We start from the raw sequence: 21,570 nt of genomic DNA on the forward strand, positions 1-21,570 counted from the left end.
CAGGCGGGTGCTGCCAGGCCCCTTAAGATGTAACCCTGGGAACCCCAGAAAGTCTGTCTCACTTCTGCTGGTTGAGCAAGTCAGATTTGAGGAGACGGGACTCAGACGCCGTGTGTGGGTGGGGAGTCATGGCCCCCTGGTGTGTGGATGGGGAGTCATGGCCCCCTCGTGTGTGGGTGGGGGCTCAGGGTCCCCTCGTGTGTGGGTGGGGGTCAGGGTCCCCTCGTGTGCATCCTGGGGTCAGGGTCCCCTCGTGTGTGGGTGGGGGTCAGGGTCCCCTCGTGTGCATCCTGGGGTCAGGGTCCCCTCATGTGTGGGTGGGGATCAAGGTCCCCTCATGTGTACGTGGGGGGTCAGGGTCCCCTCATGTGCATCCTGGGGTCAGGGTCCCCTCGTGTGCATCCTGGGGTTGCACCTCCAGAACCCACATCTGCACTTAGTCAGATTCTGGCTTCTCTGTGGCTCATTGAAGGGGGAGAAGTCGGGGGGCTGGTTTCGGGGGAAGCTCACGCCCCTGCTGAGCCTCAGGCGGTGGCCAAGGTCCTGCCCACAGGCCAGCCGGGGAGCGGGCAGGCGGACCAGGGGTCAGCAAACTGCTCTGTAATGAGCCAGAGAATGAATATTTTAGGCTTTTTTTGGCCAGTCACAACTCAACTCTGCCACTGTGGATTCTAACCTCATGGCATCTGTGTCACACAAGGCGATGTCTGCCGATTCCTGAGGTTAGGACGGAGACACCCTAGGGGGCCTGGTTCAGCCACCACAGCCACCTCCAAATAACGCTCTGGGGTAGCGGGGGCTGGACGACGGAGCCTCCCATCCCCATCCCGCCCCATAACGACATCACTGTCCCATTACTTATCCCCACGCCATGACCACCCAGCACAATTAGGAATCGGAAAACGGGCCAGGCGCCGTGGCTCATGCCTGTAATCCCAGCACTTTGGGAGGCTGAGGCGGGTGGATCACCTGAGGTCAGGAGTTTGAGACCACCATGGCCAAATGGTGAAACCCCATCTCTGCTAAAAAATGCAAAAATTAGCTGGGTGTGGTGGTGGGTGCCTGTAATCCCAGCTACTCGGGAGGCTGAGGCACGAGAATCTCTTGAACCTGAGAGGCAGAGGTTGTGACGAGCAGAGATTGAGCCACTGTACTCCAGCCTAGGTGACGGAACAAGACTCTGTCCCCCCTCCCCGCCCCCCAAAAAGGGTAAGAAAGCAGAAGGCTCTCTCTGTCCTTCCTTTCCCCTTCTCTGACACTCCTCCTTGCTGTGGACCTGAGTTTCTGACCTGTCCCATGCCGGCAGCCCCAACAAGGCGGCCAGACCTCAGCCCCAGCCTGGCTCTGAGAGCCACACTTCCTAGCGGGCAAGGAGGGCTGTTGGCCGAGGCAGGCTGGCTCCTGGGACAGAGGGTCTCCTGGGACGGCCCCTTCCTGCACCTGCCTACCCCATCCTGCACGCTCTTCCCTCTACGGCTTCTGAAGAGCTAGATCTGGGGTATGTCTGGTGTAAACAGGATAGAGTTGGGTTTTGCTGGGTGAGCCCATACAGCCACTTTTATCTTCACGGGTGAGTGGAAGCTGACGGGGCCACACCAGCTCAGCCGCGCTGTTCTGTTTACTGTGGTCTCTCCCTGAATGGCCGCTTTGGCTTTTTGAATTCATTTATGCAGATTTGTACGTTTCCTCACGGCTCATTTGTGCTCATATGTATGATATTTGTGCGTACACAACACCCACCTCCTCTTCCTCACGTGGGTTCTCCTGTCCCAGCCCCGCCCTCCTCTTCCTCGCGTGGGTTCTGCCCTCCCGGTCCCGCCCCTCCTCCCCCTGCTCCGTGTTTAGTCCTCAGGTCAAGGTCACGGACCAGACCCTGTCCCCTGAACCCACCCTCCCCTCAGGCAGGGACTGGACTCTTCGGATCTCTGTGTGGTGCTCTCTGCTCATGGCAGTCCCTCTGATGCCACCTCTGGGCTGGCCGAGCCTCACAGCATCTGGCGGTGCCCCAGGATGGAGTCGGGGGCAGGGCCCGAGTTCCCCCTTGCTGAGCTGTTTCCCAATCCCTGAGGCGTTCAGGACAGCGTGGGGGGAAAGCCACGCCCACCGTCTCGCCTCCACCCAGGTCCTGTCCTGCACGGGGCTCTCGGGAGGCCTCAGCATTCTCCTTGAAGATGCCCAAACTTTACCAACCCCTGTGCCCAGCCCTGGCCCACACCCACGGAAGCAGGGAACTGACCCCATCCCAGCCAGAGCGGGTACTCCAGGCGGGCCCAGAACCTGGAGCTGGTGCCACCAAACTCGCATGAAGAGTCTGGCTGTCTGTCAGGAGGAGGCGTCTGGGCGCCCCCTGATGCCAGGACGGCTCTGCCCATTGTCTGCGTCCCTGACTCGAGAGCTTGAGCCCGGGGTGGGCCTCCAGAGGCTGGTGCTCTGTGCCAGCCATACGGGCACCCATGTAGCTGCCCCTCTGTCTTCTTGCCAAGCTCGGGACCCTCCCCACCTGGGACAAAGTCACCTCCAACCTCTGCGCTTCACTCATCAAAATCACCTCTGCTTAATAAACCTTGAAGGTCTCAGGTGCTGCCGGCATGGGAGGCTCCTGCCTGCAGGCCTGGGGCCAGGCCCTGGAAAGCGCTTAGGGAGGGCTGGGCTGGCAGCTGCACAAGGGCAGCCTCGTGGGATGCTGGTCAAGCAGAAAATCCCCAGGGATGTGAGCTGGTTTTTTGTGGGAACTCTGAAAGTGAAAACATCAACTCCCCGAACTGGGAGGCCACCAGCCCCAGAGGGCCCTCCCCAAGCCCCCGCGGGGTCCCAGCCAGGGCCATGGATGTGGGCAGGCCTACAGCTCACTGGCCAGCTCCCCTCTGCTTCCTCCCGGGCCACAGCATTCCTGGGGCCACCAGGGTCTCATTGTCCCTCACCTGGCCAGGGTCTCCGTGCCCCTCACCTCCTCTTTGCTGGAACATTCCACACATTCCTTCCCCCGACAGGGCAGGGTTCCTGGGCTGAGGCTGGGGCAGGTGTGCTGGGCCTGGAGCTCTCCCTAAGGTCTCCAGCTGATGTGGGCTCCTGGGATCTGCACCGTCTCCCCTGGGCCACCCTCGCTGGGCTCATCCTAAAGAAGCCTCCTCCGCCTGCCCCTCCTCCCTCCCAACCCTCAGCCTCCCCACCCCCCGGCACCCACCATGAGCTGAGCCTGCTGTGAGGAGGGGGGCAGCCCCAGGACCCCACACAGGTGGGGCTCAGCAGCTTCCAGTGAGAAACCCATGCAAACTGCCTGGGGAGTTCCGGCAGCGATGGGAAAAGGCACTGTCCTACCCAGGGGGCTGAGAAGGCTGAGCCTTGAATGAATGGCAGTGAGCAGACATCAGTGGAGGTGGACAGGACACTGAGGACAGAGTCACCCTCCCAGGGAGTCAGAAATGAGGGGTGCAGGGGAGTGGGAGGGAGGTGAGGGGGTAAGGTGGGGTGAAGGATGTGGAGGGGTCTCCTGGGCTCTGGCCTGAGCTAGGAAGGGGCAGGGCTGGGTCAGGAAGCTGGGTCTGGGCGCTGTGGTGCATCCTGGGTGACTGTGGGACGCTGGAGGAGGAAGAGTTCCCGCATTTGCGTCTGGGTTGGGACTGTCTAGGCGAAAGCTCAGTGTGAATTGTCTGCTGTGTTCCCGGTGTCCAAGGCCCCCAGGGGCTGGGTGAGTCCCAAGAGGGATGTAGGCCGAGCAGAGTTGGGCACTGAACCCCCAGGCTCCCCTTGTTGACCACCCAGCCAGAAATTCCCAGGGCAGAAGGTGGGGTCTGCTCACCCATGGGGCAGGCGGTCTGGGGATGTCTGACGCCTGGGCCTCTGGCCAGCAGGATGTGGACAGAAGTGGCCGCTGGGTGGGGCTGAGTGCAGAGGGCAGTGCCCATCTGCAGCGTGGCTATGCGCCCCACAGAGTGTGGGCCTGAAGCGGGGAAAGGACCCCCCTCAACACCTCAGGCCGGCGGGTCCCATTCCAGCTGCCACCCGGACTCAGCCTGAGGCCTCCTCACCTGCACCAGCTTAACTTGGATCCCCAGCCACCACGGCACCATAGCGCCCGATTCCCATCCCGGTGCCCCTGCTTCGGGCTCACTCACATCCCAGAGAGTCGGTGCCAGCAGGGCAGGGGACAGATCACGTGGGGCTCCTGGGGGACGAACAGTCGTGGGAGGCAGGGCTGCAAGGAGCCTGTGCGGAGGGGCCTCGAGGCTGGGGTGCAGGGAAGACCCCAAGGAGGAACTGTGCGGGGAGGGGCGAGTGCCCTGCGGGTGGGGGACCCCTGCCCAGCGGGACAGCCCTGAGAAGCTGGGGCCCAGCGTGGCAGGCAGGCACATCCTTCCCACCCCAGCTTCCCCCATCGCCCACGACACCCGTCCACACCTGTGGCCCAGCCACCTACACCCCGGCAAGTCCCACCGGCCTGTTCCACTGGGAAAACCCGCACACCCCCTTATCTGCAGGACACTGGCGCCCAAGCTTGTGGGAGGCCTGAGCCGTGGGCAGAGTGGGGGAGGGAGGGAGCCACTGGTTCCCGGGAGAGCTTCCTCTCCCCAACCCCCACAACAGGTGGCAATACCTGATCCCCAGGAGAAGGTGCTTCCTTCTGCTACCCGGCCTCACTTTCCCACCCTGGGATTCCCGAGCAGCCTCAGTGAGCAGCAGACTCCAGGCTGGGTCCCCATGAAGCGGGGGACTGCTATGCCTGCAGCCCAGGAGCAAGGTGCACAGTGCACCCGGGGGTGTCTCCAACCTGGTTCTACCTGGCTCCACGGGCAACGGTCCCAGTGGGCTGTGGTCCCTCCACGAGCTGTGGTTCTGTGGGCTGTGGTTTCGTGGGCTGTGGTCCCTGTGGGCTGTGCTGTGGCTCTCATCTGCCCCCCAAGGGGCCTGGCTGGACCTCTGTCTCCTCTGACGCTGCACTTGTCTGTGTCTCGGCCTTGGCTGCCGCTCCCCTGCCATGCGGGCTCGTCCCACACGGCCCCTGCCTTGAAGACATCTTCACATGGAGTTGGCAAAGCCCCGGGAGGCTCTGGGCCCTTGTATCGGGGTTGGGGGCGTTAACCAGCCCCCCGGGAGGCTCTGGGCCCTTGTATCAGGGTTGGGGGGTTAACCAGCCCCCTGGGAGGCTCTGGGCCCACTCTGTTTCTAACTGAGTCAGAGCCAAGATTAGAAAAGGCTGAAACCACCCCCTACAACCCAGGGCCCTGGCGCCTTTGCCAGCTGTTTCTAATCAGTCCGTGGTGTCAGCCACATGGTGTTGCCCCAGGATCCCCGAAGCCAAGTCAGCCTTCACTGTGGAGGAGCAGGGCGGCCTTGAAAGGAGCTCTGTCCTCCATGGGGCCTCGGCCAGGAAGGCACAAAGGGGCTTTGTCCCCAGCCCAAGCCTGGAAGACCCTCCTCCAGCTGTGGCCCTCGGGACTGTCTGGCCGGCTCGTCCTTGGGGGTTGCATCTCCCCAGGCTGCAGCATGGGCCCCAGTCAGCCGCTGAGGTGCAGAGGATGAGAAATTCCACAGAAAAGCATGTACGGACACCTTGGGGAAGCTTCCGGAAGAATGCATGCAGGAGGCTAGCCACATGCCCAGGGTGGGACTCGGGTCCAGTTCCCTGCTCCTGCCCCCACAGCATCCTCAAAGCACTGAAACATGAGCGCATGGGCCGTGGGGACGCACTGTCGGAGGTCACTGCCTGACCCGGTGCCCAGTGTCTGCCCTGGCCCGTACGGTCCCATCGATCTGCCCCAGACGTGCTGCAGCCGTGTGTTCAGGGCCCCAGGTCCCCCTAACTCCCGGGCTTGGCTTCCCCCGATACCACCCACGCTGGTCATCTCTTAGTCACCCTGACAATGGCCACTGCTCACAGGACAGTCCCACGCTCTGTGGCTGGGTGTGGAGGCCCCCACTGGCCCTTCCTGATACCTCTGCCCCCTCTTTTCTCCTCTCTCCCTCCTGTCCCACCCCTGGCTGCAGTTGACTCTAACATTTCACTGGCATTCACCCCGGCACAGCTCACAGGCTGCATTGCTACCTCTGGGCTTTGCTGCCTGGTGAGGTGTGGGCATCCTTCAAAGCCCAGTTCCCCAATCACCTCTTCCGGGAAGCCTCCCCTGACTGCCTGGGTGGCAATGACTCCTCCCCTTCTGTGTGCAATGGAAACAGGTGGCCTGAGGAGTCAAACGGTGCAAACCCTGCCCCACTCTGTTTGGGAAGCACCTGCTGTGTGGCAGGCGCTGCGCTTGGTGCTGGGGATAGACCATGGGGAAGAAACACACAGAACCTGCCCTGCTCTCAAGGAACAGGCCCTGGGGGCGGCCAGGGGCAGAGACCCAAGGCAGACACCCACACAGTGGCGTAATGACAGTGCTTATGGTGGGGACCTGGCTGCACAGCAGGTCAGCAAGGGGATGTTCAGGTGACACTGGGGGCACGGAGACCCAGGGGAGAGTGGATTGACAGAGGGGACGCTGGGCAAATGTCCCGAGGCTGAGGTGGAGTTGCGGGAAGGAGGAGGCTGCCGGGCAGAGGCGCAGAGAGCTTTGCAGGTGTTGGCAGAGACCAGCAGGCCCTGCGAGGCCTGGGGTGTGTCCTCAGCTGGGAGGGCCATAGAAGGATCTGGGCTTGCAGATGCTGGTGCAGACTGGAGGCCTGGGGTGTGAGAGTCCAGGCGGGGCTCCTGCCAACACCCAGGGGAGTGGGCCTGGGCCAGGTGGACCGGGAGCTGGCACGGTGGTCAGGTGCTTGGAGGCTGCGTGCCACGCTGGGGACCTGGAGGTGTGTGAGGAGGTGTCTGTTGCTCCTGGGGCTGCCGCCTGCAGGGCTGGGTGTGCAGCAGTGCGGGGCAATGAAGTGGGCGGGTTCTGGGATGGTGGACGTTCCCTTTGTTGGGAACGTGTTGGTGCCAAGCTGCCATTTGAGTTTGGCTCTGAGGGGTCTGGGCAGGGGACACACAGGGAATCACACAGGATGGAGTGAGTTCCCAGGGACCCAGGGTGGCTTGGCCTGAGAACAGCTCCCACTCCCAGATGTGTGGGAAGCCCTCGGCACCAAGCCTCAGCCTCTCCATCTGTGAAATGGAGACAACGTCACTGGACTTGCAGGCTGTCCATGAGGGTGATGCGATCAGAAAGGGTGGAGTTCCTGAACGCCCCGGGGTCGGGGTCTCACAGCAGGAGCTTAGCTGGTGTCGGCATCTCCTGGACCCGTCCTCAGCTCCGAGCGCCCAGTCCTGCCACCTGTGTCCAAGTCTGCACTGTGCCCACGAGGCCCTCAAGGCCGCAGACAGCCCCACACTTCTCGGACGCCGCCCCAGCACGGTCCTTGTGTGAGGTGGACACTCCTTCTGGACGCCGCCCCAGCACGGTCCTTGTGTGAGGTGGACACTCCTTCTGGACGCCGCCCCAGTACGGTCCTTGTGTGAGGTGGACACTCCTTCTAGGGAAGGAGTAGTAACTCTTGGGTGGTCGGGTAGTTGCCATGGAAAGGGGCAGTAATGCCCAGGTATTGCCGTGGCAACCGTAAACTGACATGGCGCACTGGAGGGCGTGCCTCATGGAAAGCTACCTGTGCCCCTGCCCTGTGTTAGCTAGGCCTCAATGTGGTCCAGTATCTGAGCACCGCCTCCTGCCTCAGATGTTCCCGTCTGTCACCCCATTACCAGGGCGGCACTTCGGGTCCTTTCCAGCCATCATTGTCCTGGCATTGCCACAGTGGACACTGCCACACAGGCTTGTGTGCTTGCGCGTACCCAGGTCCTCACCTCTCTGGGATAAACCAGGCACGTGGCGGCCGCCCCATTTTCCACCCGCCAGCGGTGGAGGAGTTGCCCAGCCTTGCAGGAAAACAGCTCTCATGCCAGCAGCGGAGCATCCTATTCAAGTTTTCTCAGGGCTGCCAGCACAAATGCTGCATGCCGGGCGGCTTCCTCAGCAGACCGTTGTTTCTCTGCGTCCTGGAGGCTGGACGTCCCAGGTCCCCGTGTGGCAGGCCCGGTTCCTCCCGCAGCCTCTCCTTGGCTTGTGGGCGGCGTCTCCTCCCTGGGTCCTCGCAGGGCCACCCCTCCGTGTGTCTGTGTCCTCCCTCCCCTTATAAGGACCCCAGGCAGACTGGATCAGGGCCTGCCCTAAGGACTGAATTTTACCTTAATCACCTCTTTAAAAGCTGTCTCCAAATACAGTCACCTTCTGGGGTCCTGGCTGTTAGGGCTTTGATGCATGGATTTGGGGGACACCGCTCAGCCCCTAACAGCCCCCATCCTCTGCCTGCCTTTACCATGGGGCTGAGCCCAGCCCTGCAGGAGTCCCCTGGTTTGATGTCTGCTGTGGCCACGGCGACCCTCAGGCTGCTCCAGCCGCACTTGTGCTTGTCTCTGCCTGGCCCTGGGGCTTCACCTCCTGAGGGGGTGGAGAGAGAGAGACCTGTCCCTCCCAGCTCTCCTGGCCTTGCCCACTGCAGAGCCCAGAGGGACATCCTCCACCGTGGGCCTGGGCTCAGGTGTGCTCCGCGTTCTCCGGCCCCTCCTCCAGGTGCGCTGCTCACAGCACACGTCTCCACGTCCTGGCATCCCGGGCCTCCCTGGGCTCCGTGGCCCCGGAGGGTGCCCCTCCCTCAGCCAGTACTGTGGGAAGAGCCCGGTCCCTCTGGGGCCAGATGAGCAGGGCAGAGTGAGCAGGTCCCCCTTTGGTGGAGATTCACGATCTCCACCCCGCCCAGCAGCCATCCCAGGCCGCAGTCTGCTGACTATCCCCAGCTCACACTTCTCACCAGCTGACACGGTGATCTGGCCGGGCACCTGCCCAGGGTCCCACCCGCAGAGGAACCCGCCTCTTCCAGGTTGGTTCCGGGCTCCTGGACGGATCACGCGCTGTTGACATGCAGTTGTAGCTTTTTTCTTGTGGGTGGGAGCAATGCTCTTCCCAGCTCCACCTGGAATTCCACCAGGGATGGGTGCAGCATCCTAACCCCGCCTTCCCTTGGAGAATTCACTGCTCTGGACAGACGCCTGGCCCAGGATTTCAAAGGCGCATCTGTTATGGACCGGGCCCCCAGAGGAGACGTCTTTTTGCCATTTTGTTTTCTGACCGGAGGGTTTTTTGGAGGTTGCCCTCCCACCCACCGGGTTGCTGGCAGCCCAGCCCGTGCTGTTTTCAGTGGACCCTTTTGCAAATGTCTTCACAGGCTCCCGGGAAGCTGAGCTGAACAGTGACCTCAGCCTTGAGCAATCCCGAGGATGTGTTTGCTGAGGAAATCATTAAACAGGGAGATGAGAGCACTCAACCCCCAACATGCCAGGCTCTGCGGGAGGCTGCTTATTCCTGTGGCCTCGGGCCAGGTGCCCCAGCGTTTGCTGCCCTTGGTAGACACTTGTCTGGCCTGAGCCCTCGGGCACCATACACCGACATGGTTAGGGCAGCCAGGGTCAGCCCGGGCCCCTGGGAGAGCTGAGTGGAGGGACCACTGGCCAAGCACAGAGGGTGCAGGGTGCCCAGGACCAGGCGTCACCTGATGGTCACCTGGGGGAACCTGCTCACTCCGCCCTGCTGCCCTGCTCACTGCTCGGGGGCCCAGCCAGGCCGGGGACCAGGGCCTCAGAGTGGAGGGGGGTCAGGGCCCAGGGCCTCAGGGTGGAGGATGGTCAGGACTCAGGGCCTCAGGGTGGGTGGTCAGGGCCCAGGGCCTCAGGGTGAAGGGGGGTCAGGGCTCAGGGCCTCAGGGTGGAGGATGGTCAGGACTCAGGGCCTCAGGGTGGAGGATGGTCAGGACTCAGGGCCTCAGGGTGGAGGCAGTCAGGACTCAGGGCCTGAGGATGGAGGGGGTCAGGCCTCAGGGCACTGGACAGCTGACTGGCTTCTTCCCAACCCTTTTCCTTCTTTTCGCCCAACATAACCACTGGGAGGTATCCACAGAAGGGGGCTCCTCAAACACTGCCTGGTGTCCTCTGTCTCAGCCCCAGGGGAAAGGACTCGCACGGGGCGGAGTGGGAACTTTGGGTGAAACTGGGCAGGGGGTGCTGGCCAAGGCGGGGGAGAGGGTGGACTCCCATCAGGTCAGGAGCTCCGAGGTGAGGCCTCTGCTAGGGTGGAGGGTCTCAAGATGGGGAGGGAGGGGTTGTGGGAAAGGGGAGGGGAGGTGGAGCCGCTCCAGGAGCCTCACGGGCCTTCGGGATGGAGCCGCTGGGCGTTGGCGAGAGGCTTCCGTCCACGGCACAGCCCCGCACGGGGGCAGAGGACGGGAAGGGACCCAGGGCAGCCCCGAACCACCTCAGACTTTTGGAAAATGAACTGGAAAGAAACAAGACTTCTTTTGAAAAGAAGAATGTCCTTTTTTATTTTGACTTTTTGTCATCGATATTTTTTGCGTTACTCCTGGTTTTAAAAAGAATTGCATTAAAATACCGCTTTTCTGATGAGTGAGTTTTTGGAACACCCCCCTGCTCCCTGCTTTAATTTTGCCCTGGAGAGGAGCACCTCATTCTACTCTGGGCTGTGCATCTTTGGAAGGAATGCTGAGACCCCCGGTTCCCACTGTCCCCGTGGGCCATACCCCGTGAGCCAGCGGGACCAGCTCCGAAGGCAGAAGGTCAGGCCGGGGTCAGCTTCAGCCTTGGCGGGGGCAGCCGCTCAGCAGAGGGTGGCCCAGGGAGGCCAGGCTGGCTAAGGGCAGGGCCAGGACCACCCAGAATGGGAGGCCCACAGCCCACCAAGGGGTTGCCCCGTGGGAAGACATGGGGAATGGGTCTGGCCCTCTCAGCACGCTGTGGAGTGTGGCAGAGGGCGGGGGTCGTGTCCTGGAAGGAGGAGGCTGAGCCTCCAGAGAGCAGCGTCGGGCTGGAAGATTAGGGGAATGCTGTGTGTACAAGGCCCAGCCATGACAAGCAGTGACTGTGGTTTTAGCCAAGAGTGGGCAGTGAGGGAGGGGACACACGTGGCGGATAGGGTGGGGGGTGGCCCCCACAGGACATCAGGAGGGACCTAAGTGAAGGAGGAAGCGCTGGCAGGCCAGGCACCCACCCTCGGGGGCCAACTATCCAGAGAGGGGCAGGGGGAGGGCAGGGGGAGGGGGCTGAGAGCGGGCAGAGGCAGGGCTGGAGCAGGGGCTGAGAGCAGGCAGTGGGAGGGCAGGGGGAAGGGGCTGAGAGCAGGCAGGGGGAAGGGGCTGAGAGCGGGCAGGGGGAGGGCCGGGGCAGGGGCTGCTGCCTCCTGGAAACGTTTCATGTTGTCCTTGCACTATTTACAGTGAGGATTATTTATAAAACCCAAATCGCTTTAAAGCCATTTCCAGGTTTTACATGAACAAAAATCTATTTGAAAAAAGAAAATAATAAAATAAACATTTAAAAATCTTTCTTAGAATTCCCTAAATTTCAGGGCCGTGTGTGTGCCCATGTGTGGTATTTGTGTGTGTGCGTCTGTGCATCTGTGTCAGTGTGTCTGTGTCTGTGAGTCTGTGTGTCTGTATCTGTGTGTCGGTGCATCTCTGTGTCTGTGTGTGTCTGTGTCTGTGTGCCTGTGTGTGTGTCTGTCACTGTGTGTGTGTGTCTGTGTGTCTGTGCATCTGTGTGTCTGTGTGTGTCAGTGTGTCTGTGTGTGTGTCTCAGTGTGTCTGTATCTGTGTGTTGGTGCATCTGTGTGTCTGTGTCTGTGTCTGTGTGCTTGGGTGTCTGTCACTGTGCGTCCGTGTGTCTGTGCATCCGTGTGTCTCTGCATATGTGTGTGTGTGTCAGTGTGTCTGTATCTGTGTGTTGTGCATCTCTATGTCTGTGTATGTGTGTCAATGTGTCTGTGTGCTTGTGTGTCTGTCACTGTGTCTGTGCATCCATGTGTCTGTGCGTCTGTGTGTCTGTGCATCCGTGTGTCTGTGCATATATGTCTGTGTACGCACACAGCTGATCCTCTGACACCGAGGAGGAGACACAGTGGGGATTCTGGGTCTGGCAGGCTCTCTCCTCTGCATCTCTCAAGCCTCCCACAACCCCCTTAGTGTCCACCCATGCTGTAAGAGGAGACCATCTGGAGTCCCAGGTGTTTTAGAGACTGGAAACCAGCCCACGGGGCCCCTGGAGGAACAAAAACCAGCTCCCAGCCAGCGCATGCACACCTGAGACACGCCCTCAGCCACTGGCTTCTGCCACTGCTTTACTGGGTCAGCCATGAGTGGGGCTGAGGAGCCCGCCCTCCCATCAACGTGTTGCTACCTGGAGAGCATTGACAGACTTGGGCCATTCCTCTCCGTGGCGGGTGCCCCTGTCTTCCTGTCTACATGAGTCCAGGGGCCCTGTGGTGCATGGGAACAGCCAGGAGGGGTGGCTCAGCAGGACTAAGATGAGAGACTATCATGAGACCCGGGCACATTCCCACCAACAGCGGGTTCCTTTCCGTCCCCGCATCTTCCCTCACCAGCAAGCCCCTGTGCAGAGCCCAGACTCCACAAAGGCCCATCAGTCATCACTGTCCACATGTGCATCCGATGTGTAGGGTGGCGGCGGGGACGAGGCTCAGACAGACAAGACACCCCAGGGTCAGCCAGGCCGGCCTGTCCCACTTGAGCTGGGCTGAGACACCAATGTCACCCCTCTTGAAGCCCCCAAAGCTTGCTCTCTGGCCGACAGCTGGCTTTTGAGCCAGAAGGCTGGTGACCCTGTTAGGATCTGGCAGACCCGCCAGGGTGGCTCCCAACTCACCCACTTCCCGCCCTGAGGTCCTCTCCTCCCTCCCCACCCTCTGGCTACATGGACTCTCCATCCTGGAACACCGGGCATGACCTGACTCGCCTTTGCCTCGCCGTTCCCTCTGCCTGCGATGCTGTTTCCCCGACCACACAGGCCTCCCTGGCTCCTGGCCTCCTCCAGTCTTTTCTCAGGGTCTTCTCCGTGAGGCCCCTCTGACAACCCCGTTCACATTCCTAACCAGCACCCAGCAGCCTGTCTCATTGTCTCTTACTGGAATGTGTGTTTGCACGGCAGGGATTTTCCCCCTGCTGTGTGGTGATGGATCCCCAGCGTCTGGAACTGCTTCCAATGCGAAGGAGCTCGGAAGCCTTCAGTGTGGGGATGAGTGAGTGAGGCAGGCGGCTGCCGGTGCGGGGAAGACAGTTAGGGTTGTTCTTACATGATAGTTTTTAAAGATGCCATCTTTTCAACCAAGAAATTCTACTTCTAGGCCCCTGCCCTGGAGAAACAATGAACTGGTGGGGAAGAGTTTCATCATTTCAAATGCTCGGCCATGGTTTCTGTGACCTGTGGGTCTGGTTCCTCCATGGATGGAGCAGATGTCAGCGGCCTTTGACTGGAGAAGGTCGTGGGTCTTGCAGGCTTCAAAAGCTTCTTCGTTTATGTTGTGCCAAGAAAGCTATGGCTGGGAACGGTTCCCTCCCTCAGTGTCTGCTTGTGGCAGCTCCCGGGCGTTTCTGGGCTGCCTCACCCCGCACTGCACTGGCCTCAGAGCCAGGCCTTCATCTGACCAAGTCCCCACCTCCTGCTGTCTTCACTAGTGCTGTTCTTTATCTGTCTTTGGGTTCCTTTTAGTATTTTCCCCTAAATTTTCAAATGATGTGTCTGGTTGGTTGAATGTGAACCTTTCTTGATTACTAGGTAAATGCATCTGGTCTTCCTGGTGTGGCCGAGTCCCACAGGTGCAGTGTGGGGCACCCACGTGCCTTCCCTGGAGTGAGGAGTCCGAGCTCTCCTCTCCGTCTCTGCTCATGATGGGGGCCATGCTCCCCCGTGCCCTTCCCAGCAAAGATGGGGCCTCCAGGGCTCCACTCCCACTCCCGAGCCCCTTCAGTGTGGACACATCTCACTGTTACCCTGGTATCCGTTCACAGTCACTGAGACTTGGCCAGCAGCTTTGCTGCCTTTGTGTTGGTTTTTGTCAACACTCTGTTCTGTGTCCCATGCCAGCCGAGAGGCCTGTGGGGGTGGCTAGTGGGGGGAAGCTTGGCCTGCAGGTGAAGGCAGGGCTGGGGGCCCTTCTGGGCCATGGTGCCAGCCTGTCACCTTCGTGTTTTCTGCCATCAGGTGTCAGGGTCCCACTGGGCCTTCAGCTGCCTGTGCTACCTGGGCATGTGCCCCCTCCCCAAATATGTGCCCCTCCCCAGACCTGTGCCCCCTCCCCAGATCTGTGCCCCTCCCCACACCTGTGCCCCCTCCCCGGATCTGTGCCCCCTCCCCGGACCTGTGCCCCCTCCCCAGACCTGTGCCCCCTCCCCGGACCTGTGCCCCCTCCCCAGACCTGTGCCCCCTCCCAGGCCTGTGCCCCCTCCCGGGCCTGTGCCCCCTCCCTGGATCTGTGCCCCCTCGCCGGGCCAGTGCCCTCTCCCTGGACCTGTGCCCCCTCCCCAGGCCTGTGCCCCCTCCCTGGATCTGTGCCCCTCCCCGGACCTGTGCCCCCTCCCTGGATCTGTGCCCCCTCGCTGGGCCAGTGCCCTCTCCCTGGACCTGTGCCCCCTCCCCAGGCCTGTGCCCCCTCCCCGGACCTGTGCCCCCTCCCAGACCTGTGCCCCCTCCCCAGACCTGTGCCCCCTCCCCAGACCTGTGCCCCCTCCCCGGGCCTGTGCCCCCTCTCTGGGCCTGTGTTTTCCCAAACATACCCCATGGAGAGGAGCTGGGTCCTCACAGGTTCAAAATTGTCCTATAACCCTGGGGGGGTTACGGTGTGTGCGAGGGATGGAAACCAGACTCTGAGGTAGACGTGTGTGTGAGGAGTGTCAGCCCCCGTCCCTGGAGGGCGAGGAGGGGAGTCCAGGGAGGCCCCACCCCTGGCCTGGGGAGATGGGTCTCGGTGAAGAACCAGGGCCACACTGGCATCACAGGCAGGCCCAGTCCTGGTGGATATGTCCAGGCCGCCCCTTTTCCTCCCCTCCATCCAGGGTGCACCAGGCTCCTCCCCTCAGAGACCACCCAGCCGGAAGCCCAGGCTCCCCAGGTCACCAAAAGGGGCTTGCAGGGCCTCCTAGGTGCCACAGGGTGCCGGGGGTGAAATGTGACTCTACCAGGCAGCCGTCAAAGAAACAGGTGTAACTGCATCCCCAGCGTGGAGAGGAGGCTGGCTCGGGCCAGCAGGGTCCCAGAGAGAGCCCAGGGTCCGGGAAGCAGAGCAACCTCAGGCAGCTCCAGGGGGACGTTGATGGAGGGACCATTGGCAACGGTGGAGCAGGGAGTAGGGAGAAAGCGAGCCCATGGCTGGAGCGCGCCAGGAGGGTGAGGTGAGGGCGGGGCCCCTGGAGCCTTAGTGCAGGGAGACAGGCTGCCTGTGCACCTGCCGAGAAGGAGCCCTCCCCGACCTTGGACTGCCAATACCCGAGGCCAAACCCACCCTCCCCAGCCTGTGCCAGCCCCAGGGTCAGCCTGGGCAGAGCGTGGTGGGGAGAGGTGCCCAGGGCACCTGGAGGGGTAGGAGGGGACACCTGCCCTGCTGTACACAGTCCCTGCTTCCCCCATGTGCTCCCCACCAGCCTGCAGGGAGCATGGAGTTGCTTTCACTTCATCAAGATCCTGGAGCACCTCTTCCTGCTGCCTCAAGTGGCCCACAGTTTCCACGACACCTCTCTGGTTTCCGGAGCTCCTGAGCTGGGATGTAAGCCACCAGCATTCATCTCTGGCCCCTGCCTCAGGCCCTTCGACTCCCAAAATAATGGGCAGGAGTGGGAGCTTCATCCAAGGCCCCTGCACACTGCCTTGGTTCACAGTGAAATCTGGAACACGGCATCTTGGTTTCCAGGAAAACTGCCTTGGGTGCCATGGCGCAGCCTGCCCACACTTCAGGCACAGAGCACAGAAGATTCTGTGGTTTCCACACCTGGGAAGAGAAAAGAAAAACCTTCCAGGTACTTTAAAGTTCCAGAAAAATGAGAAATGCTTGGCCACAGGTACACCTACAAACCCTGCTGTCTGCACAAACCTTGCTGCAGAAGTCACAGGAAGGCTCTAAGGAGCAAAGAAGGAAGAGCCGGCCCCTCCTCTCTGGGAGACTGTAGGAGAATGAAGGAACCCTAGGTGGCAGCGGCTGAGCTCATGGTCCGCTGACGACATTGCCTGGGGTGGGAAGGAAGCCCAGCCAGCCCAGGCAGCCATGGGCCAGCCATGGGTCTCAGAGGGAGAACAGAGGCCTCCCGCCACCAGCAGCACTAGTGTGCCAGCCACGTGCCTGGACCTGGACCCTGCAGCCCTGGGGAGGCTCTCGGATGACAGTGGCCCCAGAGGCATCCAACTGCAGCCTCATGAGAGCCCTGTGCCCCAGCGCCCAGCTAAGCTGTGCTGGATTTCCTGGCTCAGAGGAACTGTGAGGATAAGGAAGGTTTATTGTAGGTTGTTGTGAGCCATTAAACTTGGGGTGCTTTGTTAGGACACAATGGATAGCAAATACACCACTGACCGGTTAGGAGCCCCCAAACTGGGGAGAAAGTCTCACAGGGGAGCCTGTGCTCACAGGGACGGAGTCAGCCTCACACACAGACACATTTTGTTATGGGTTGAATGGTGTCCCCTCCCCCCAAAAAAGGACGCACTGAAGCCCTACACCCCCATACCTGTGTGTGTGACCCTACTTGGAAATAAGGTCTTTGCAGATTTAATCACGTTAAATCAAGTTCATTAGGATGGGCTGTAATCCAATGTGACTGTGTCATCACCAAAAGGGGAAATGTGGACACAGACACAGACCCACAAGGAGGAGGCCACATGAAGATGGAGGCAGAGACTGGAGTGATGCACAGGCCAGGGGACACTGGGGGCTGCTGGGAGCTGGGAGAGGCGGGAGGGATCCTCCCCAGAGCCTCTGGAGGGGGCACGGCCCCACCCACACCTTGATCTGGGACTTCTGGCTCCAGATCTGTGAGAGAACCTCTGTTCTTAGCCATCAGTTTTGTGGAACAGTGTTGCAGCAGCCCCAGAAAACGAATGCAGATTTCTGCACCTTTTAAGAGCAAAGACAGTCTGGGCGTGGTGGCTCATGCTTGTAATCCCAGCACTTTGGGAGGCCAAGGCAGGTGGATCACCCGAGGTCAGGAGTTCAGGACCAGCCTGGCCAACATGGCGAAACCCTGTCTGTACTAAAAATACAAAAAAATAGCTGGGCGTGGTGGCAGGTGCCTGTAATCCCAGCTACTTGGGAGGCTGAGGCAGGAGAATCACTTGAACCCAGGAGGCGGAAGTTGCAGTGAGCCGAAATTGCACCATTGCCCTCCAGCTTGGGCAACAAGAGCAAAACTCCGTCTCAAAAAAAACAAAAGAAAAGACAATCAAAACACAGCTCAAGTGAGCAGCATTTGTACTGAATCAATTGGCCTCTGTTTAGTACTATTAATTAGACAAGAAAAAAGGGAGTTGTCTTTGTGTACCACTGGGGGTTTGCAGTTTTTAGATAATAAGTTTATTTTAAGTAACTATGATTTTCATTTTCTTTCAGTGTTCAGGTAGCCACAACTTGACCATGGGGACCCCTTGAACTGGCACGACCTCCCGTCCGCACCCAAGTCCCCACCAGCCTGTCCCTCTGATGGTTCTGGGCTGGGTGTGGCAGGGAAAGGGCAGAAGTGAGACTTTGACCTGGTGGGTGCACACGCCTAGGTGTAAATCTAGCTCCAACATCTTACATGAGAATGAATTGAATTCAGATTCTTTAATGGCTCACCCTGGAGTTTTATCCCTCCTGGTAATAATTTCATGACCAACACAATTCTTTGTTTAGCTGAGTATTTTGATTCTGGTGAGCATCATTTCATGTGTGTGGTGTTGTCAACAGCCACAGGTGAGTCTAAAATAATAGCACAGGGTCTTGTGACGGTGCTGGGAACCTCTCCGCTCATACTGGCCCGCATGTCTTCGGACGGGAGTCGCAGCGCAAGCTTGCAGGTGGTCATTGCTGGGAGTGTTAAGGCAATACAGGTCTCTGAGAAGAGAGAAAAAGGTGTCTTTATATTCAGAATAGTCAGGGAACAGCGCTGGTGTTTACAGCTGATGTGAAGTGACCAACACAGAGAAGAAACAGACACGCCCAGGTCAAGGGAATTTGTCTTTAACATATTTTTTTTAAATAACCCACAATTTGGTGTTGAATTCTAATTTTTAAAAGACACTCAGGTATTTATTTATTTGAGACGGAGTCTCGCTCTGTCGCCCAGGCTGGAGTGCAGTGGTGCAATCTTGGCTCACTGCAAGCTCCGCCTCACGGGTTCACGCCATTCTCCTGCCTCAGCCTCCTGAGTAGCTGGGACTACAGGTGCCAGCCATCATGCCTGGCTGATTTTTTGTATTTTTAGTAGAGATGGGGTTTCACCGTGTTAGCCAGGATGCTCTCGATCTCCTGACCTCATGATCCGCCCGCCTCCGCCTCCCAAAGTGCTGGGATTACAGGTGTGAGCCACCGTGCCCGGCCAGGTATTTATTTCTTAATGCCCTATTCCTACAAAGTGCAAAGGCCATTTGAGAATGTCAGAAACTATAATGAAATAAGATCAAAATACAATAGCTTTCCACATGGATATTATTAGAGATGCTTGCCCTTAAATTTCACCCTGCAATTCAGGTTAAGGAGCAATTTTATAGGCCTTTATAACATTATGATATAATCAATGCTTCTATAAAATCCCGTTTATGAATGACAAGGGACCCATCGTGTGTGTCAGAGTCACTCACAAAACGTTTAATGAGCTGTTCAGGTAATGACATGACCCAACAGGGGATTTCCAAAACGCCCAGTCTTTCAAAAACGATATGAAAATCTCCAAATCGGACATTTAAAATGATTCATATTATTATTAGGAAAAGCATATAAGATGTATTAAAGAAGAAGCATGGTTTGGCTCCTTTTTAAACATTTTAATTAGTGGACTTTGTTACTTAGAGCAGTTTTAGGTTTACAGAAAAACTGAGTCTCAGGTCCAGGGAGCCCCAGTGTCTCGGCTCCCCTGCGACTGACATCCTGCTTCCTGTGCTGCGTTTGTTACAATTATCAGTCGCGCGAACACACGGCTCACATTAGGGCTCACTCCTTGTGTCGAACATTTTATGGGTTTTGACAAGTGTGTCATGACATGGATCCACTAGTTGTGGTCCCTTTTATCAGGTTAAAAATAAAACGGGGCCTTGCAGAGATTTAAATGTGGTAGTAATCACCTTTGTTATATTTTTCCTTCTGAAAATATTAGCCTTGGAAGGAAATGTTTTAACAACTAGCCACTGTTCTGTGTCTGGGCACATGTCCATAGTGAGCGTATTCTCTTATCTGCTTCATGCTGTTGCCAATTTACAGACCAGTCGCTCAGAAGCTGTGATTTTTCTTCTGAGCATAAGCTTATCCTCAATATGGAAACTTTAATTCAAAATACAGTTTGGTCTCATAGGAGCATTGTAGTCTTGCTGGCTGGAATTCACGTGGAGACCGATGCCAGTGCCTCTTTCCTCTGCATCCATCCATCCATCCATCCATCCATCCATCCATCCACCCACCCACCCATCCATCCATCCATCCATCCATCCATCCATCCATCCATCCATCCATCCATCCACCCACCCGTCCATCCATCCACCCATCCATCCATCCATCCATCCACCCATCCACCCGTCCATCCATCCATCCACCCACTCGTCCATCCATCCATCCATCCACCCACCCGTCCATCCATCCACCCACCCATCCATCCATCCATCCACCCATCCATCTATCCATCCATCCATCCATCCATCCATCCATCCATCCATCCATCTATTTATCCATCCATCCATCTATTTATGCATCCGTCCATCATCCATCCATCCCTCCGTTTGCTCATTTCCACCCAGGAATCCATCATCTCTCAAACTAAGGTTTCGACATCATTCCTTCTTTTCAGAAAGTGCAAACCAAAGCTAAGACTGGCTCACACATGCCACGCGGGAGTTAGAGTGAGAGCATTTTTCAGATCCTTGTTCTCTTCTGGCCCCACCTCCCGCAGTTTCTGGAAGTCCCAGGACAGGGAAAAGGAGAGAAAGGCAGAAAAGAAATTATCGAGTGTGGCTCTTCCCTCTCCTCAGAGGAAATTGTTCACCTGCCACCCTCGGAAATTTAATTTTCAGTGTTAAAACTTGAAATTTTATAGTAGTATGTGTACCAAAGTTATAAAATGGGCAAACTTGTCTAAACGAGGATTCCTACATTGTTATGACATTTTCCCCAGAGAATCACAAGCTCTGAGATACACTTGTGAACCTTACTTATGCAGACATTCTCTTAAACTGGGATTCTTTCTCTCAGTTTACCTTAGGCTAACACAGAAACATATTTTGACACAGAAAGAATTTTTTCTCTTCATTGCTCAAGTCACCTGGAGGCAGCTCCTGCCTGGGGTGGATGCCTCCGACCCCTGGGAATGACCCCTGCAGCCACCACTGAGCCCCCCACAGAAGGAGGCTCGTGCCTGGTCCAGCTTTCCCACCCGGGGTCTCTGTGGCTGGCTCCCCCCAGCTCGGGGCAGAAGCCTAATTCAGGGTTGTTCTGCTCAGTTGATCCAGTCGGACGCTAGGATTTGCCTGGGGGCCCGGCCTGCCAGCAGTACAGGTGAGGGGACGCAGGCTTGGTCACAAGCACCCCTGCTGACCTTCCCTACAGACCTGGCACATTTAATCTTCTTCTTTGGGGAGGAGAAGAGGATGCATTCAGAAATGCCTTTGCTGATGAGGCCCTCAGGAGCTTGTACTGGAATCACTCAAAATTCCCAAGTAGCCTGAGTGTCCTAATTCATTTCTGTGTACATCTGCCTAATTCTCAATCCACGTCTAAGGTTAGAATGAACATTTGAATTAGCCATTCTGGACAACACACACACGCACTATACCATGCATTTAGATCTCTCTGTACCTTGCTCGTGTCAGCACAAACGCAGCCCCTCTCTTTTCAAAAGCCCGGTTCGTTTTCCAGCAGGCGCGTGCTTTCATTAGACTTTCCCTCCTGTGGGTTCTGGCAGATTTCCCAACACAAGCACGGCAGGAAGTGCATTGTGTTTGTAGAAAATCCAAAATAATCTCTAGGTGAGTGTTAGGATGAAAAATGAATTTAGTGTTGGTACAGGTTTTTGCTTGTTGTACTTTTTGTGGGGGAGGGTGATAAAAATATTCCAAAATTGATTGCGATGATGGTTGTGCAATTCTGTGAATATACTAACAAGCACTGAACTCTATACTGCAAACAGGTGAACTGTATGGTATGTGAATTATATTTTAATAAAGCTGTTATTTTTAAAAAGTAAATTTAGCAACAACACTGGATACAAGCTAAATATACAAAAATTAATTATCTTTATACAGACCAGCAACTAATAATTAGAAAATGAGAATTTTTAAATGATACCATTTTGGTAGTATCAAAACCCATCAATTACCTAGTAACTGTTCAGTAAAATATTCCAAAAACAGCAAAACATTGACTAAGGTACATTAAAGAAGATTTAAATAGCCCAGGCATGGGGGCTCACGCCTGTAATCCCAACACTTTAGGAGTCCTAGGAGAGCAGATCACCTGAGGTCAGGAGTTCGCGACCAGCCTGGCCAACATGGTGAAACCCCATCTCTACTAAAAATACAAAAAT

General features: G+C 57.6%; 1 long non-coding RNA gene across 1 annotated transcript, besides 4 other annotated features; it reads right to left on the reverse strand.

Moving 5' to 3' along the window:
• Window positions 2,247–3,244: an enhancer, noted in NCBI's record as "H3K27ac-H3K4me1 hESC enhancer chr21:46743143-46744140 (GRCh37/hg19 assembly coordinates)". NCBI's record gives its function as "activates a minimal SCP1, AML or CMV promoter by ChIP-STARR-seq in naive H9 embryonic stem cells {active_cell/tissue: H9 hESC(naive)}" and the evidence as "EXISTENCE:reporter gene assay evidence [ECO:0000049][PMID:30033119]".
• Window positions 6,149–6,870: an enhancer, noted in NCBI's record as "H3K4me1 hESC enhancer chr21:46747045-46747766 (GRCh37/hg19 assembly coordinates)". NCBI's record gives its function as "activates a minimal SCP1, AML or CMV promoter by ChIP-STARR-seq in primed H9 embryonic stem cells {active_cell/tissue: H9 hESC(primed)}" and the evidence as "EXISTENCE:reporter gene assay evidence [ECO:0000049][PMID:30033119]".
• Window positions 6,331–6,380: an enhancer, noted in NCBI's record as "active region_18587". NCBI's record gives its function as "activates an Ori minimal core promoter by ATAC-STARR-seq in GM12878 lymphoblastoid cells {active_cell/tissue: GM12878}" and the evidence as "EXISTENCE:reporter gene assay evidence [ECO:0000049][PMID:35858748]".
• Window positions 9,037–9,758: an enhancer, noted in NCBI's record as "NANOG-H3K27ac-H3K4me1 hESC enhancer chr21:46749933-46750654 (GRCh37/hg19 assembly coordinates)". NCBI's record gives its function as "activates a minimal SCP1, AML or CMV promoter by ChIP-STARR-seq in naive and primed H9 embryonic stem cells {active_cell/tissue: H9 hESC(naive and primed)}" and the evidence as "EXISTENCE:reporter gene assay evidence [ECO:0000049][PMID:30033119]".
• Window positions 17,609–21,009, reverse strand: LINC00316 (long intergenic non-protein coding RNA 316). The gene is made up of 2 exons (NR_103811.1): window positions 20,844–21,009; window positions 17,609–17,897 (listed from the first exon to the last, which is right to left on the reverse strand). It is a non-coding gene; the product is annotated as a long intergenic non-protein coding RNA 316 (long non-coding RNA).
• Window positions 21,010–21,570: the final 561 nt, after the last annotated feature.

This window comes from Homo sapiens, chromosome 21 (genome assembly GCF_000001405.40).
Source record: "Homo sapiens chromosome 21, GRCh38.p14 Primary Assembly".
Taxonomy (NCBI): Eukaryota; Metazoa; Chordata; class Mammalia; order Primates; family Hominidae; genus Homo; species Homo sapiens.